The 14866-nt window shown below is 40.4% G+C and overlaps 1 protein-coding gene across 2 annotated transcripts in view, besides 1 other annotated feature; it reads right to left on the minus strand.

Annotated features, from left to right (window-relative positions):
• Positions 1-14866, minus strand: part of SHC4 (SHC adaptor protein 4) — a 140179-nt gene that overhangs the window by 118229 nt on the left and 7084 nt on the right. Inside the window, exon 1 of one of the 2 annotated variants that reach the window (XM_005254375.4) lies at positions 4591-4762. The exons of the other annotated variant lie outside the window; for it this stretch is intronic. Coding sequence (XP_005254432.1) covers positions 4591-4626 — 36 coding nt within the window. The 5' untranslated portion in view covers positions 4627-4762. Of the gene's footprint in view, positions 1-4590; positions 4763-14866 lie in introns of those variants that run through there. 2 annotated transcript variants of the gene reach the window in all.
• Positions 3688-4887: an enhancer, noted in NCBI's record as "CDK7 strongly-dependent group 2 enhancer chr15:49237854-49239053 (GRCh37/hg19 assembly coordinates)". NCBI's record gives its function as "activates an origin of replication core promoter dependent on BRD2, BRD4, P300/CBP, MED14 and CDK7 cofactors, with strong dependence on CDK7, by STARR-seq in HCT116 cells {active_cell/tissue: HCT116}" and the evidence as "EXISTENCE:reporter gene assay evidence [ECO:0000049][PMID:35650434]".

The raw sequence follows: 14866 nt of genomic DNA on the forward strand, positions 1-14866 counted from the left end.
TCTCATTTATAAATGAGAACATGCAGTATTTGAGTCATATTCTTATAAATAATCAGGATTGAGCCTAATTTTACGTAAATGGCAATGCTATGAAGATGGACAGCAGCAGGATCCTGTGACTTCAGTAACTGTAGGGTTGCTTCAGGATTACATCACAGGGTCATCATGATCAGAGCTAGAACGAGGTGACCTGTTAGTCAGTATTTTTTTAAAAAAACAAAAACCCTAGATTCATAAAAACTTTGTGATGGACGACACTATTTGTCCCAACCCCTTTATTTCCAAAGCATTTAAGTGACTTGAACAAGATCACCCCGCAGTACAAAGCTCTAAGCAAGCATAGAAATTTGCTAAGCTATTCGATCACAAACATCAGGTTCCCATTAAAATCGAACATAGATTTTTGAATCAAACTCAAATAACGCTGTTATAACTTAAATAACCAACACCTTCAAGATGCAATGTAAATAGGATCCTAGATTCAAGTTGCTTATTTTATAGCTTGTATTCTTTAAAAAAAAAAACTCAGCATTTTTAGCTAAGGAGAAAAAAAGGGCACAGGGAGATCTCTATTTTCCTTTAAAGTCTGCTAGCATGAGTGGATTATTATTAATTATTGGTTATTATTATCCAATTATTTTTTACATTGCTTGAAGGTCTCATGATAATCAATTATTATCATTGGTTATTACATTAAGTATTGACTTTCTAGAAGGATACATAGATTGATGTAAGTAATCAAAAAGTTAGGAATGCTGAAGTAAGAGTCTAGGAGCAGGGAGAGGTCAGTTGGTTATAGCTAATAAGAAGTGTAGTTCAGGCTTGAGATTTACATAGAAGTTAGGCAGCTTCTTTTCTTGCCCAGTCACTGACTACACACCAAACCTTCAACCATTGCCCTGAATTCCCCTGACCAATGGCATTCATGAGTACATCAATGGAAACCAAGTGTAGGTGATACCATGCTGGCTCTAAGCCAGCCATTCCCATAATACCTAAAGAGGGTCTGCTGATAGCATCACTTCCTTTAACATTCTTCTGAAATCCCATATCCTCCAGAAAGTCTCACTGAAGAACTGAGATAGACAATTCAACCATTACCAAAAACATTCCTCTCAATAATCTTTATGTATGTGGGTAAAAACACCCAACATCTACTCCCTTAGCAAATTTTCCATCTACAATCCAATGTTACTAACAATAGTCCTCATGCTGCACATTAGATCTCTAGACCTATTCATCCCATGTAACTGCAAGTTTGGACCCCTTGACCTATACCTCACCATTTTCTCCCGCTCCCTGGCCCTTGTAACCCCTGTTCTACTCTCTGCCTCTATATATTCCACCTTTACAAGATTCCACATATAAGTGAAATCATGCAGTAGTTTTCTTTCTATATCTGGCTTATTTCACTTAGAATAATGTTCTCTAGGTTCATCCATGTTGTCACAAATGACAAGATTACCTTCTTTTTTAAGGCTGAATAATATTTCATTGTATATATACCACAATTTCTTTATCCCTTTATCCATCAGTGGATACTTTGGTTGTTTCCATATCTTGACTACTGTGAATAATGCTACAATGAACACGGGGGTGCAGAAAGCTCTACAAAATGCTGATTTCATTTCCTTTGGGTATATACCCAGCAATAGGATTGCTGGGTCATATGACAGTTCTACTTTGAATTTTTTGAAGAACCTCCATATTGTTTTCCATAATGATTGTGCCAGTTTACATTCCCACCAAGAGTGCACAAAAGTTCCCTGTTCTCCACACCTTCACTTATTGTCTCTTGTCTTTTTGATAATAGCCCTCTTAACAGGTGTGAGATGATATCCCATATAGTTTTGATTTGCATTTCCCTGATGATCAGTAATAGTTTTCCTTGAAGTCCTACCCAATAACATCCTCTCACATCTCCTTGGGCCCCTGGCTTCCAGGGAAGCTGAGAAATGGCAGTTTTTAAGCTGCGTACATTGGGGATCTGTTAGTAAGGTAGAAAGAGGGAACGGAAAAGGAACATAAGGTGTAGGTAGGACACCCAGAGTCTCTGCCCTGGCCGAGCACCTTTTTATATAGCTGTTGGCCATTTTTATGTCTTCTTCAGAAAAAGGTCTATTTAGTTTTCAACAATCTAAGCCTACAAACTTTCAAGTGGTAAAGGGATGGGCTCTTGCAAAGCTCTGCCCAGCTCTGTGTGCAACACCATGTGGTGTCCACCTCTGTTGCATCCATCTTAAAGCATGAGAGCCTAGGTGGCCAGGGCAGAGACTCTGGGTGCCCTACCTACATCTTTTGTTCCTTTTCCTTTCCCTCATTCTTCCTTACTAACAGATCCCCAAACTGCCATTTCTCAGCTTCCCTGGAAGCCAGGAGCCCAAGGAGATGTGAGAGGATGTTATTGGGTAGGACTTCAAGGAAAACTATTTAAAAGGGGGCTGACTCAGCCAGGAGGTACACCATTTGTATTTGCCATTCCTTCTTCCTGCTGCTTGGAAAATGGGTATGATGCTGGGTGCTCTAGCAGCCTTGTTGCAATCTTGAATGAGCCCAAAGATGGAAGCCATGTGTTAAGGATGGCCAAACAGAAAGCTGGAAGGATCCTGGGTTATTGATGACTGAATCCCTGGCCAACCTACCTAACATGAACAAAAAGGGAAACCTCTATCTTGTTTAAACTCCAGTTATTTGAGTTTTGTAGTGATATAATCTGAAGTGATAAGGGGGATCTTTTAAACTGTGCTTTCAGATGGCAGCTGAGGAGTCAGGGTTCCTCTGCAGCCCCCTTCCTACCAAAAAAGATCTCTGTGAAAAGGTTTCTTACTCGAATCAGTTCAGCAGCTCTTAAATAGGCTTTCCTATATGTCAGCAAAAGTAACGTTTTAATCCCCATTATCTGAAAGTAGAGTCTTTATACAATAACACCTTACTGAAAGTATTATACCTAACAACTTCAAATGTCCTAAGCATGGCTAAGAATACAAAAATATGCACCCAAAAACATCTAAAAATACTACTAAGTCAACACTGATGTTTATGCTTATGTTTTTCTCTTAGGAGAGCAACCCAGTCTTTCATTCAGAGCCCATTTACCCTTGCTTTCGATAACAGTGGTAACAGGTTGTCCTCTCCAGAGCTCAAGAGCCCAGATTGAAATGTTGGGTCCTCCCAGAGACAGACTCACTCTGAAAAGCAAAAAGTCATAGCTGACTGAACAAAAGAAATCTGATAAAGTATAAAAATATAGTCAGATAAGTTCAAAAAGCTCAACCACTTGGGAATCCAGACTTCAGGGGCAACCAACCATTGCATTCCATGACTGTTAGAATGAAGGCTCCATTTCCATCAGAAAAAAAAAAAAAGGAGATTGAATTCCAATCAGTATCCACTTCTGGGTGTACACCCAAGAAAGTTGAAAACATGTCTGCACAAAAACTTACCCATGAATGTTCATTATAGCACTATTCATAATAGCCCAAAAGTAGAGACAACCCGAAGGTCCAGTAACTGGTGAATGGATAACAAAATGTGGTATTGCCGTACAATGGACTATTATACTGGAATAAAAAGAAAGGAAGAACTGACACATGCTACAACATGATGAATCTTGAAAACACTTGCTCAATGACAGGAACCAGACACAAAAGACCACATATTATATGATTCCATTTATAAGAAATAGCCAGAAAACACAAATCCACAGAGACAGGAAGTAGATTAGTCTCTGCCAGGGGTTGGAGGGGAAGAAGAGGGAGTGGCTAATGGTTACAGGGTTTCTCTTTGGAGTGCTAAAAATGTTTTAAAACTAGACAATGGTGATGGTTGCACAATTTCGTGACTATATGAAAAACAATTGAATTGTACACTTAAAGTGAATTTTACAGTATGTGAATTATAGCTCAATAAAACTGTTATAAAAATAAACCATAGATCTAGAAAAAAACCTGACATTTACCTCCCAAAATTTTTTTTCAAACAGTATCATCTGTCTATGAAGAGAAGGAAGCATATAATCTTCATTATACAGAGGTTTCCATGTAAAATACTGCATTTTTAGAAGACTGACATCTAAAGGGAGAAGCTTCAATTATCTGAAAAAGTCAATGATTGCCTAGTGATGTCAACTAAATGAGCTTTACTGTGTCGAGATTCTTACTGGTGAGTGTTGACAATGTCTGTGGGCATCTTATTCAGAAGAAATAGCTCCCTTCTCCCTCTTATCACTTAAACAGTTGGATGATGACTCACAGAGTTTCTGCTCTTTCACTTGCTTAGAGTTGCTCAGTGTGTGTAGGAAGCATTAACTCACTAGCAGGTGAGCCACCTCAAACCTTTTTGGAAGTCAGCTGGGTATAAATCATAAATAAATATATTACCCATGACTGTGCACATTATGCTTCCTGGAGGCCTCCAGAATCAATACTCACTCCTTGCCAGGGCCGAGGGGCCTCCCACAGCAATGCCCACGTCCTTCCTCATCCTTCCTCTTCCTTCTCCCTCCTCTCTTTCTCCTCCCCCTTTCCTCTCCCTCTCCTCTTCCTCCTTCTTTTCTTAAGTGACAGCCTAGTTGTAAAATCGGATTCTTACATTTTCTGAAGAGAAATTTGGAGATTTGTCACACATCCCAGGCCAGAATCTCTTTCACTTGTTTCATGTTGAGATTTTTCACTGGATGGCTGTTCCCCATTCCTTGCTTATCTTTCTTGCTCTCTGGGCAACGCATTTGGAACATTCTCTCCCCAGAACATTCCTATCACTGGACTAGGCACAATGATATGGTACTTGCCTTTATTTCACAGAACTTTGCAACTTATTGCTGCTTGTCATAAAAGATAAAAAAATTCAAGATTTGGTGTTGAATAAGAGTTTCTTTGTTTTTAAGTGAACAGCAGATATCTATTTCAGATGGATTAACATTTTTTAAAACTCACCTCTGCATTTGAAAAGGTTGAGAAGAGACACTTGACATAACTTAGACAGGTCCTGAGAGTCCGGTATTATGTAAATAGGCTGTGTGAGCTCCTATGAGCTATATATAATGCTTATGCTAGGGGGGTTTAGGGGATAAGGCTTCAGTTAGAGCTACTCTGAAAAGTTTTAGTCTTTTATTTCAAACTGTCAGTATTTCCAAGATACATATTTTTTCAAATCAAAAACTATTTCTAAGTATGTCTTCATTTGGCCAAAATGAGTATCTTTAACATTATTTCAGAAGCCAAAAGAAAATCAGCATGAAAACAGATCAGCCTCTGGCCAGGGTCATCCAGCACCTCTGGGTCTTGTCTTTCAATAAAGGAATGGCTAGAAGTGTGACCCCTTCCCCAAGACACTCTCCTGCCACTGATGGATCAACAGGTACTGACATGCAAGGGTGCCCTAATCCACAAGAGAGAAAAAAACACACACATTGCAGACCAGCATGCACAGTATAATTTTCATCTGTGTCAACAATTATATTTGTGTGTATACACAAATATGCAACACTTAGGAAAAAAAGTCTGAAAGAATACAAAAGAAGCTGTTAATAGTGCAATTACCCCTCAAAAAGTCATTGCTTGTCATCCTTTTTTCTTGTCCTGACTCCTCTATTTAAAAAATACAAGTGAGAGAACAATCTCATTCACCAGGATCCTGGAGGCCTTTGAGTCCCTAGAAGCATTGGGTAAATAAGAGCTAAAATATATCCACTTTGTGGATAAAGTATCTTGGTTTTTGCCAGCATATTTCTGATAGTTAACGTCATCACACCTGAGAAAGATATGTATTTTTTCCAAATGACGAACAAAAGCTATTGAAAAAAATTACACCTGCTTTTGTAACACCCTTTATTATAATTTGTTTAATGTTTGCAGAATGCTATGGAGATGCAAAGGGCCCTCTAGAAGATTGATGTTGTTATCAATAAAAACAAAAATCAAGGCATCTTCACTCAGTCTTCAGCTGATAAAAATGTTGACAACAGTGGGAGAAACTCAAAACTCACATGTTTTGGCTTTCTTTATAAAGGGAAAGGCCATAGATGAATTTCTAAATTTAAACCTCCATCTCCAGAGACACCCTTCTCGTTGCTGATTCAGTTTCATCTCATGAATACACAGGGTCTTGGATAGGATTCTGCATGGGCAGCCAAGATATCTGTTGTATTCCTAGCTGTGTTTTTTATTTCTAGGTTGCCCTGGGACACTCTCTATATATCATTTTCCCTGAACAGAAACCATTTTGAGAGTAAGTACAACAGCATTCGTTAAATGCTCTCTGCTCTTCAAGGGCAAGATGTTGTTGTCAAGTTTAGTAGAAAAACAATTGAATGTAAAATGGGCTCATTGATTAAAGCTATACAACAAAGCATTTACATGTGATGACAAAAATAGGAAACGCATTGTGAGACATACCAACAAATCGTGTTGCTGAATTGTTAACACAAACTTCAATACCATAAAACTCTGCTGACTGATCTCCAGTTGACAACTTGCTGCATGAAGCCAACAGGCTACCAATATGTCCACACTTTCGGCTGTGAGTATTTGAATTGTGGGCTTACCAAGAATTCTGCTATGTTTGTGCCATTGTAATTGCTGTATATGGCACCTGTATATTGCAATTGTAACTGCTATTGAAATCACATAATTTAAGCAGATAGTAAACACACTGGGCTGGGCGAAGTGGCTCACGCCTGTAATCCCAACACTTTGGAAGGCCGAGGCAGGAGAATTACTTGAGCCCTGGAGTTTGAGACCAGCCTGGGCAACATAGCAAGGCCCAGTCTCTACAGAAATTTTAAAAATTAGCCAAGCCTGTTGGTGTTTGCCTGGAGTCCCAGCTACTTGGGAGGCTTAGGTGGGAGGATGGCTTGAGCCTGGGAGGTTGAGGCTGCAGTGAGCCGTGATTGCACCACTGTATCCCACCCTGGGTGACAGAGCGAGACCTTGTCTCAAAAAAGAAAAATCACACACCTCCCTCTCATCTAGATGACTCTGCCACCTCAAACTCAACATGTTGGGAATGGAACCTCATCCGTTCCCTCTCAACACTGCTTGTCCTTCTGTAGTCCTGTGTCTTCCACTGGCATCTCTCCCATCCCATCCTAGGCCACTTACCTCAAAACCTTAGGCAGGCTGGCCAGGCGCGGTGGCTCACGCCTGTAATCCCAGCACTTTGGGAGGCTGAGGCGGGTGGATCATGAGGTCAGGAGATCGAGACCATCCTGGCTAACACGGTGAAACTCCGTCTCTACTAAAAATACAAAAAATTAGCTGGGCATGGTGGTGGGCGCCTGTAGTCCCAGCTACTTGGGAGGCTGAGGCAGGAGACTGGCATTAATCCAGGATGCAGAGCTTGCAGTGAGCCTAGATCATGCCACTGCACTCCAGCCTGGGCGACAGAGTGAGACTCCGTCTCAAAAAAAAAAAAAAAAACCTTAGGGAGGCTGGACTGAATTCTACCCTCTTCATCAAATTATTCTTCCACGATCTCTCTATCTCTTTACATCATTGCCTGTATCAAGACCTTGATACAAACACTTCTCACCTTGACTATTGCTGTAATCTCCTCTTAATGGGCTTCCCCACCTCAAGGCACTTTGTTTGGCAGCGCAAATCCTCATGCCTCTGCTCAGACACCTAAACTTCTTAGGCTGATGCTTAAGACTTGTTATAATCTGGATCGAATCTCAGCATTATTACCCACCATTCTTTTCCAGCAGCTTTTACTCTGGCCCAACTAAAATCGGTGCCCTCCCTTGCGGATAACCTATAATTCCTTATCTATATTCCCTCATCTACAATACCTTAAAAAAATTATATATATGTAAAGTAATATAATTTTATAATTATATATAATTACAAATTAATATATATATAAATTATGTAATATTTATATATTATAATTAGTATATTAATAATTTTATAATGTATGTATACAAGTTATAAATTATACATATAATTTATATAATATATTAATATGCAGATTATATATTATATATAATTTTAACATATGAAATATGAAATAATATATAAAATAATATATTAATATTATTAAAATATTTATTATTAATAAATAATATAAATATAATACAATAAATATATTTATTAACATACAATAAACATATAAAATATATTTTTATAATATAGTAAATACATAATTATATAATAATATGTGTTTATTTTATATTATATAATTGTATATATTATTTTATATTATATAATTATATTTATAATTTTATATTATATAATTGTATTTATATTATTATATATAAAATTTATATATTATTAAATTTCATATATATTTTAGATAATATATAAAATTACATATATATATATTCCCTATGGTTAAACTTCTAACCGATCATTAGGGACCATCTCAGAGGCCATCTCCTTAGGAAGCTTTCCTTGATTACTCAGCTAGAAGACATCTCCACCAGATAGAAGACATATCTACTTTATCACACTGATGTATATGACTGTGTCTATAGGCATATATCATTTTCTACCTTGTATTATGATTATTGATCTCCTAGTTTCAAATGAAAGCTATAGTAGCAGAGTTTCCCAACCTGTGTTTCACAGAATATTAGCTCCATGAGAAGATGATCTAATAAGTTTTAAAATGGTGCATACTAGAGCCCACCTTAGAAACTGCAGTGGGGATGGAGGGAAATGGGAGTGTGTGAGAAATGTCATAAAGGTGGAATTGACAGTTTGTGATAAGAGGAGGCTGCGTGCAGCAAGACAGAGTGAGTGGTCTAGAATGCCCCCAGACTTCTGACTTGGACAACAGGGAGGCACCATTCACTGAGTGGGCGGAGGTGACAGTGGAGGTGTGGGATATCCACTGGTGTGCTTGGGTCGCGATGGTTGGCGTTAATATCCTGGAGGAGGGTAGGAGTAGGAAGACAAAAGACCAAGCCCTGCGGTTCTTTCTCAGTTCTCATCTTCCTTGAACACTCCACGGATTTTGACATGGTTTTGACCAACCTCTCTCTCCTGGAAACTCTCTCCACCCTCTCCCTAGGTGACCTGTCCTCTCTTCATCCTGCTCCTCATACTGCCCATTCCCTTCCTCCCCTTTCCATAGAACACCTAAATCCTAAATCCTGCTCTACCCTCTCCTTGTGGCAGCCTTGTCCATTCCACGGGCCTTGATGACAATAACAACAAAAATAATTTCTCCCCAGTCCTAACTATTCTATTTTTTGCTGGAGATTTCCACCTGGATGCTTTCGGGGTCACCTTGAACACAGCAGGTGTACAATGGGACTCATCCCCAGCCACATCCTTCCTACCCCCTCACTTTCCTGCCTGTGACCCATTTCCAAAGGGGTGAGAAGCTGGTGGCTTCTTCCTCCCTTAGGTGTCCCATCTTTCCCCTCTCTTCCCAGTGCCACTGCCTTTGTTACCACTCTGTTTCTTCTGGTTGCCTTTCTCCAGGCTCCCTCCTCTTGCATCCTCTCTGAGCATTGCAGCCCATGTAATCTTCCTAAAGCATATCTCTGCATTTGTCATTCCCCCATTTAAAAAAAAATCCAGTGGCTTTCTGGTGAAAACCCAGCTTTTCAGGTACTATACAACCTTGTTGTATCAGTCCATCTTATTTTCCTTCTGATTTCCTACATATGCCTCTTGCACTGTTTAACCAAGTCAAATCACTTACTGCTCCCCAAATACATCCTCCACTTTCCCACCTCCATGCCTTCACTTTGCCTAGGATGTTCTCTCTCCATCTCAGCCTATGGAAACTCTACCTATTTCTTAAAACTCAGGTAAGATACCTCTTCCTCCAAGAAACTTTCTCTAATTATCTCAAATGGAAGGTGTGCCCTTTCTTCTCTGAACTCCCATAATCCTTCATTGGTATCACTTTGGTTTCATTTATTATAACCTAACATTTATTACAGTAATGTGTGTGGACATCTTTGCTTTACTTTCCTACCACACCTCCTCATGCAAGAATTATGTCTCATTCACATAATGTAGTGGAAAGACCACTGGCCTGGGAGTAAGGAGATGTGAAATTTAGTCTTTGCGCTGCTGCCGATGAGCCCTGTGACCTTGGAGAGCTTAACTCACCATGAAACAGAACTTTGTAGTCTAACCTATCAGATGAGTTCTGAGTCCAGGGTTAAAGGAACCAAGCTGAGAGGGATGTGGGAGGCACAATGGCCTTTCAAGGAGCCAGGATTGGCATTAGGTTAAAAAAGATTAAGTTTGAATTATGCATTTTACCACTTCCCAATAAATGATTCATATATAATAAATTATTTGCTGATGATATTAAGGGTAAAAATCCAATTTCTGGGGTTGTCCCTAAAGCACATGGGTTTTTCAACTGGAATGTCAACCCCTCTAACTAGAGGAAGTTTTCAACCCCAAGACAGGCTCTGCTCTTAAAATTTACTTGTAAATTAGTTGTTAAAAATCTTAATGCATTTCCCTGTGAAAATGAAGTTACTAGTAAGAGTAGGATACCATGATTAAGATACAAAGCTATCTGCACAGCAAAAGAAACTATCAACAGAGTAAACAGACAACCTACAGAATGGGAGAAAAGTTTTGCAAACTATGCACCCAACAAAGGTCTAGTACTCACCATCTATAAGGAACTTAAACAAATTTACAAGAAAAAAAACCCATTGAAAAATGGGCAAAGGACATGAACAGACACTTCTCGAAAGAAGACATCCATGTGGCCAACTATCACATGAAAAAGGCTCAACATCACTGATCATTAGAACAATGCAAATCAAAACCACATACCATCTCACACCAGTCAGAATGGTTATTAAAATGTCAAAAAATAACAGATGCTGGTGAGATTGTGGAGAAAAGGGAATGCTCATACACTGTTGGTGGGAGTGCAAATAGTTCAACCATTGTGGAAGATAGTGTGGTAATTCTTCAAAGATCTAAAGACAGAAATACCATTTGACCCAGCAATCCCATTACTGGGTATATACCCAAAGGAATATAAATCGTTCTATTATAAAGACACATGCACATGTATGTTCACTGCAGCACTATTCACAATAGCAAAGACATGGAATCAACCTAAATGAAGATCAGTGATAGACTGGATAAAGAAAATGTGGTACATATATACCATGGAATACTATGCAGCCATAAAAACGAATGAGATCATGTCCTTTGCAGGGACATGGATGGAGCTGGAGGCCATTATCCTTAGCAAACTAATGCATGAACAGAAAACCAAATACTGCATGTTCTCACTTAAAAGTGGGAACTAAATGATGAGAACGCATGGACATATAGAGGGGAACAACACACATTGGGGCCTATCAGAGGGTGGAGGATGAGAGGAGGGAGAGGATTAGGAAAAATAACTAATGGGTACCAGGCTTAATACCTGAGTGATGAAATAATCTGTACAACAACCCCCCATGACACAAGTTTACCTATGTAACATGTACCCCTGAACTTAAAATAAAAGTTAAAAAAAAACAAACACTGTGTAAAGCAAACTACAGTAGTGGAGTTGACATGTTGGACTCCCATTTCAATACTGATGCTTGCTACTTATAAGCATCAAGGCCAGACAATGGGCCTCTCTTGGTGTCAGTTTCCTCTCCATCTACCCACTCCACAGGGTCATTGTGAGGTAATTGATGCAAGCTTCCTGCAACATACACAGAGCTCAACAAATCATAGCTATTATGTTAATGAGAATGTGATGTTATGTTCCTATATTTCCAAATAAATTATAATAAAATCTCATATTTCCATTTCCCTCCACAGAAAAAGAAAGTAAGCTAGCCTGTCAATGTCATTTAGCCCGAGTGCTCCTGGGTTAAGGTAGAATCTGTCCTAATGTGGACATCCTTGATGTACGAGTAGCTCATAGCAACATATGGCTCATGTGGCTCACCCTCATCCCATGACTTGAGATCATGATGTGGAAGCCACAGGAATATTGTTTGGGTGGAAAGTGGTGTGAACTATAATTTTTAGAGAATCTGTAGATTTAAAAGAGGGGAAAGAAGAAAATGAGAAGATGTAGAAGTGGCTTAGATTCGATTTACAGGAATCACTGAGCAGTTGTTTATTTTTCCATTTAATATTGCCTCCTAATCTACATCCCGGGTTCATACACTTCATCCCACTGGCTCAAGGTTTCTCAGCCTCAGCACTTCTGATGTGTTGGACCTCACAATTCTGTGTTGTGGGAGCTGCCCTGGGCCTTGCAGGCTGTTTAGCTGCAACCTGCCCTCCAACCACTAAAGGCCAGTAGCATTCACCTCCCCTCCCAGCTAAGACAATTAAAAATGTCTCCAGACATTACCAAATGTCCCTTGAGTGGCAAAATAATCCCCCGTTGAGAACCATTGCTCTGACTGGACTCAGCAGAGGTTCCCAAATCTTCTCTGCCGCAGAATCACATAAGCAGTTTGCCAAAAATGCAGGTTTCTGGGCCCCAGCCTCAGACATTCTGGTCCAGTAAGTCCAAGCTAGAGACTGGGAATCTGCATTTTAACAAGCATTTTTAACTGATACAGGTGGTCCTCAGCAAACTTTGGGAAACACTACAATGAAGAGTCAATGAAGTAAATAAACATCTTTCCAAAATGCAGATGCTTTTCGCTTTGCTGCACTGGAGGAGCAGGGGACTAGCGGATAAACATTAGGCAGCTTTAGAGAAGAAGGCAGGCAGGCCCTCCCTGGTGAGCAGCACAAGGCAAGACTTAGGGAAGAAAGTTCTGCCAGGGTGGCGCTGCTGGCCGGGAGAAAGTATGCCAAAGGAATGTGGGGAAATGCCAAAACCAAGTTTAGTCTATCCTGAGTTTTCGGCCCAGAGGCACCCCCTAGGCTATTGAAATCCATTCTCTTCCCTCCACTTGGGACCTACTGTGAGACAGGCTCTGTGCTAAGCCTTGTACATACAGTTTGTTATTTTATCCTGTCCCTAACTGTATGAGAAGGCTTATCAAGTTTTAGTTTTATTTCTCTGAGAAATTTCAGTCTCAAAGAACTGCTGTACAAATTAACTCTTCACCCGCAATCTCTTCATGAAATGGGAACAGCCTGTACTAATCCTAGAGTTCTACCACCCTTAAAAACTCTTTGCAACATTGTTACAATGAGAAAAAGCTCCATGAGTTGAGAAGGCAGGATCCCTCTCTTGGGTTTCCTGCAGCCCCCAGTACTCTGTCCCTTTGCGTAAAAGAAAGACATCCCAGTATGTTTACCCAGGAAGAGGACATTCTAAGCTTCTTTCCCACATATTCTGAAGGGGAAAATGAAAGACAAAGGGACTAGAAATGTCTTCACATTCCAATACCACGGGTGGGTGTGCAAACCTAGCCACCTTCAGGTGCAGACAGATGATGTAAGTGAGTGAAGCTGGGTAGGAGCGGGGTGTGGGGCAGCCTGTGTGCATCATTTAGATCACTCTCCTGGTGATGGAACTGTCATATTGGGGTCCAGGCTTGGTTCGGTCCCTCCATATGATAACACCGTATTGGCTTCAGAGTAATATGAACATGGAAATGAGAGGAAACCATATTGGGGAAATGACCCTAAGGTCATTAGGGTTGCAGCAATGAATGAAATGGGAGCCAGTCCATGCATGTGGTAACAAGTCCTGGCCCAACATGGACACACTGCCATCCGCAGGGACCTCCTTAATCAAAAGGTTGAAACTGGCCAAGCCAGTGCTCTTTGGTCTCCTTGCCACCCTTCTATGCTCCCTCTTTTCTTCTCACTGCTATTTTAAGACAATTTTCCCATTAGAAAGAAGTTTTTGTAATTATCTTTCTAAAAAGCACACGCAGCATTTTAATCATGTAGAGGCATTTGGTGTAGCATATTTATTTCAGGAAGTGGGGGAAGATGAAGCAAGGTGGAGGTAGAAAATAGAGTGCTGTACACAGAACTGGGAGCTCTTGTCTGGGCTCCACCACTGGTAGATGTGTGGTTGGGGGCAAGTCACTTCACATGTCTGAGCCTTAGTTTCCTCAACTGCAAAATGAAGTGTGTGGACTCACTGATCTCTAAGACTCTTGCAGTTAAGGCTCTAGTGTCCAGGGGCATGAAAGGACTGGACCAATCAAGGGATATGTGAAGGTCTAGAGAGAAGAACAGGGGAACGGGTCAAACCTGCCAGGCTTTCTCTAAGTTCCAGCAGAATCTACTTCCACGTCTACTCCAAGAAAGAAATAGGAAGGAAAATATAATACCCTCAATGCCAAGTCATCAGTTTTAGCTGGAATTATTTCCTCCCATCCATACTACCTCCCTCTCAACCACCAATAACTTAGAAAAGAAGGAAATTTACAAAGGCAGAAAGCCATGTTTCTTTGCTGTGGGTACCTGAGCGACCCAGGTCTGGCTTCATTGTGTAAACCATGGGACTGTCTCTCCAGGAGTCTCCTGGAGTCACAAATCTCCCTCTTTCAAGGTTAGAGTTACCAGGCTATGTGTGTGGCAAGGCCTTTTTCTCTTGGCTCTTTTGTCCAGAGAAAATAGAGATGGCTTAATTTCTGTCACTTCTGCAGTCCTCCTGTTGGACACCAAGTCCAGTCAGACCTAGCTGGCCAGACACATGAGGAATGCCATGTTCCCACAATCCCATCCACTATCGCTCACCTCTTCCAACCCTGGCCTGCCCCCGAACTAGCCCACCCTTCACCCCTCCCTGGAATTCTACTCTTGGATGCTGTTCTACCACCCTCCATCTCTCTAAAACTTACTGCCTCCACCCATGCCAGTATAACACCCTCCTTTCTGCCTTACTGGTGAAGCCAGCTCAGTGTTAGTAAGAGGGTGCTAAAATAGAAGTGAATGCATCCCTGAAGGACATTCTTTCTCTTCTCTGCTAACATAAAGTGGATAAACATTATTTCCTCAAGGTAACT

The sequence above is a fragment of the Homo sapiens genome, chromosome 15 (assembly GCF_000001405.40).
Source record: "Homo sapiens chromosome 15, GRCh38.p14 Primary Assembly".
NCBI classification, from domain to species: Eukaryota; Metazoa; Chordata; class Mammalia; order Primates; family Hominidae; genus Homo; species Homo sapiens.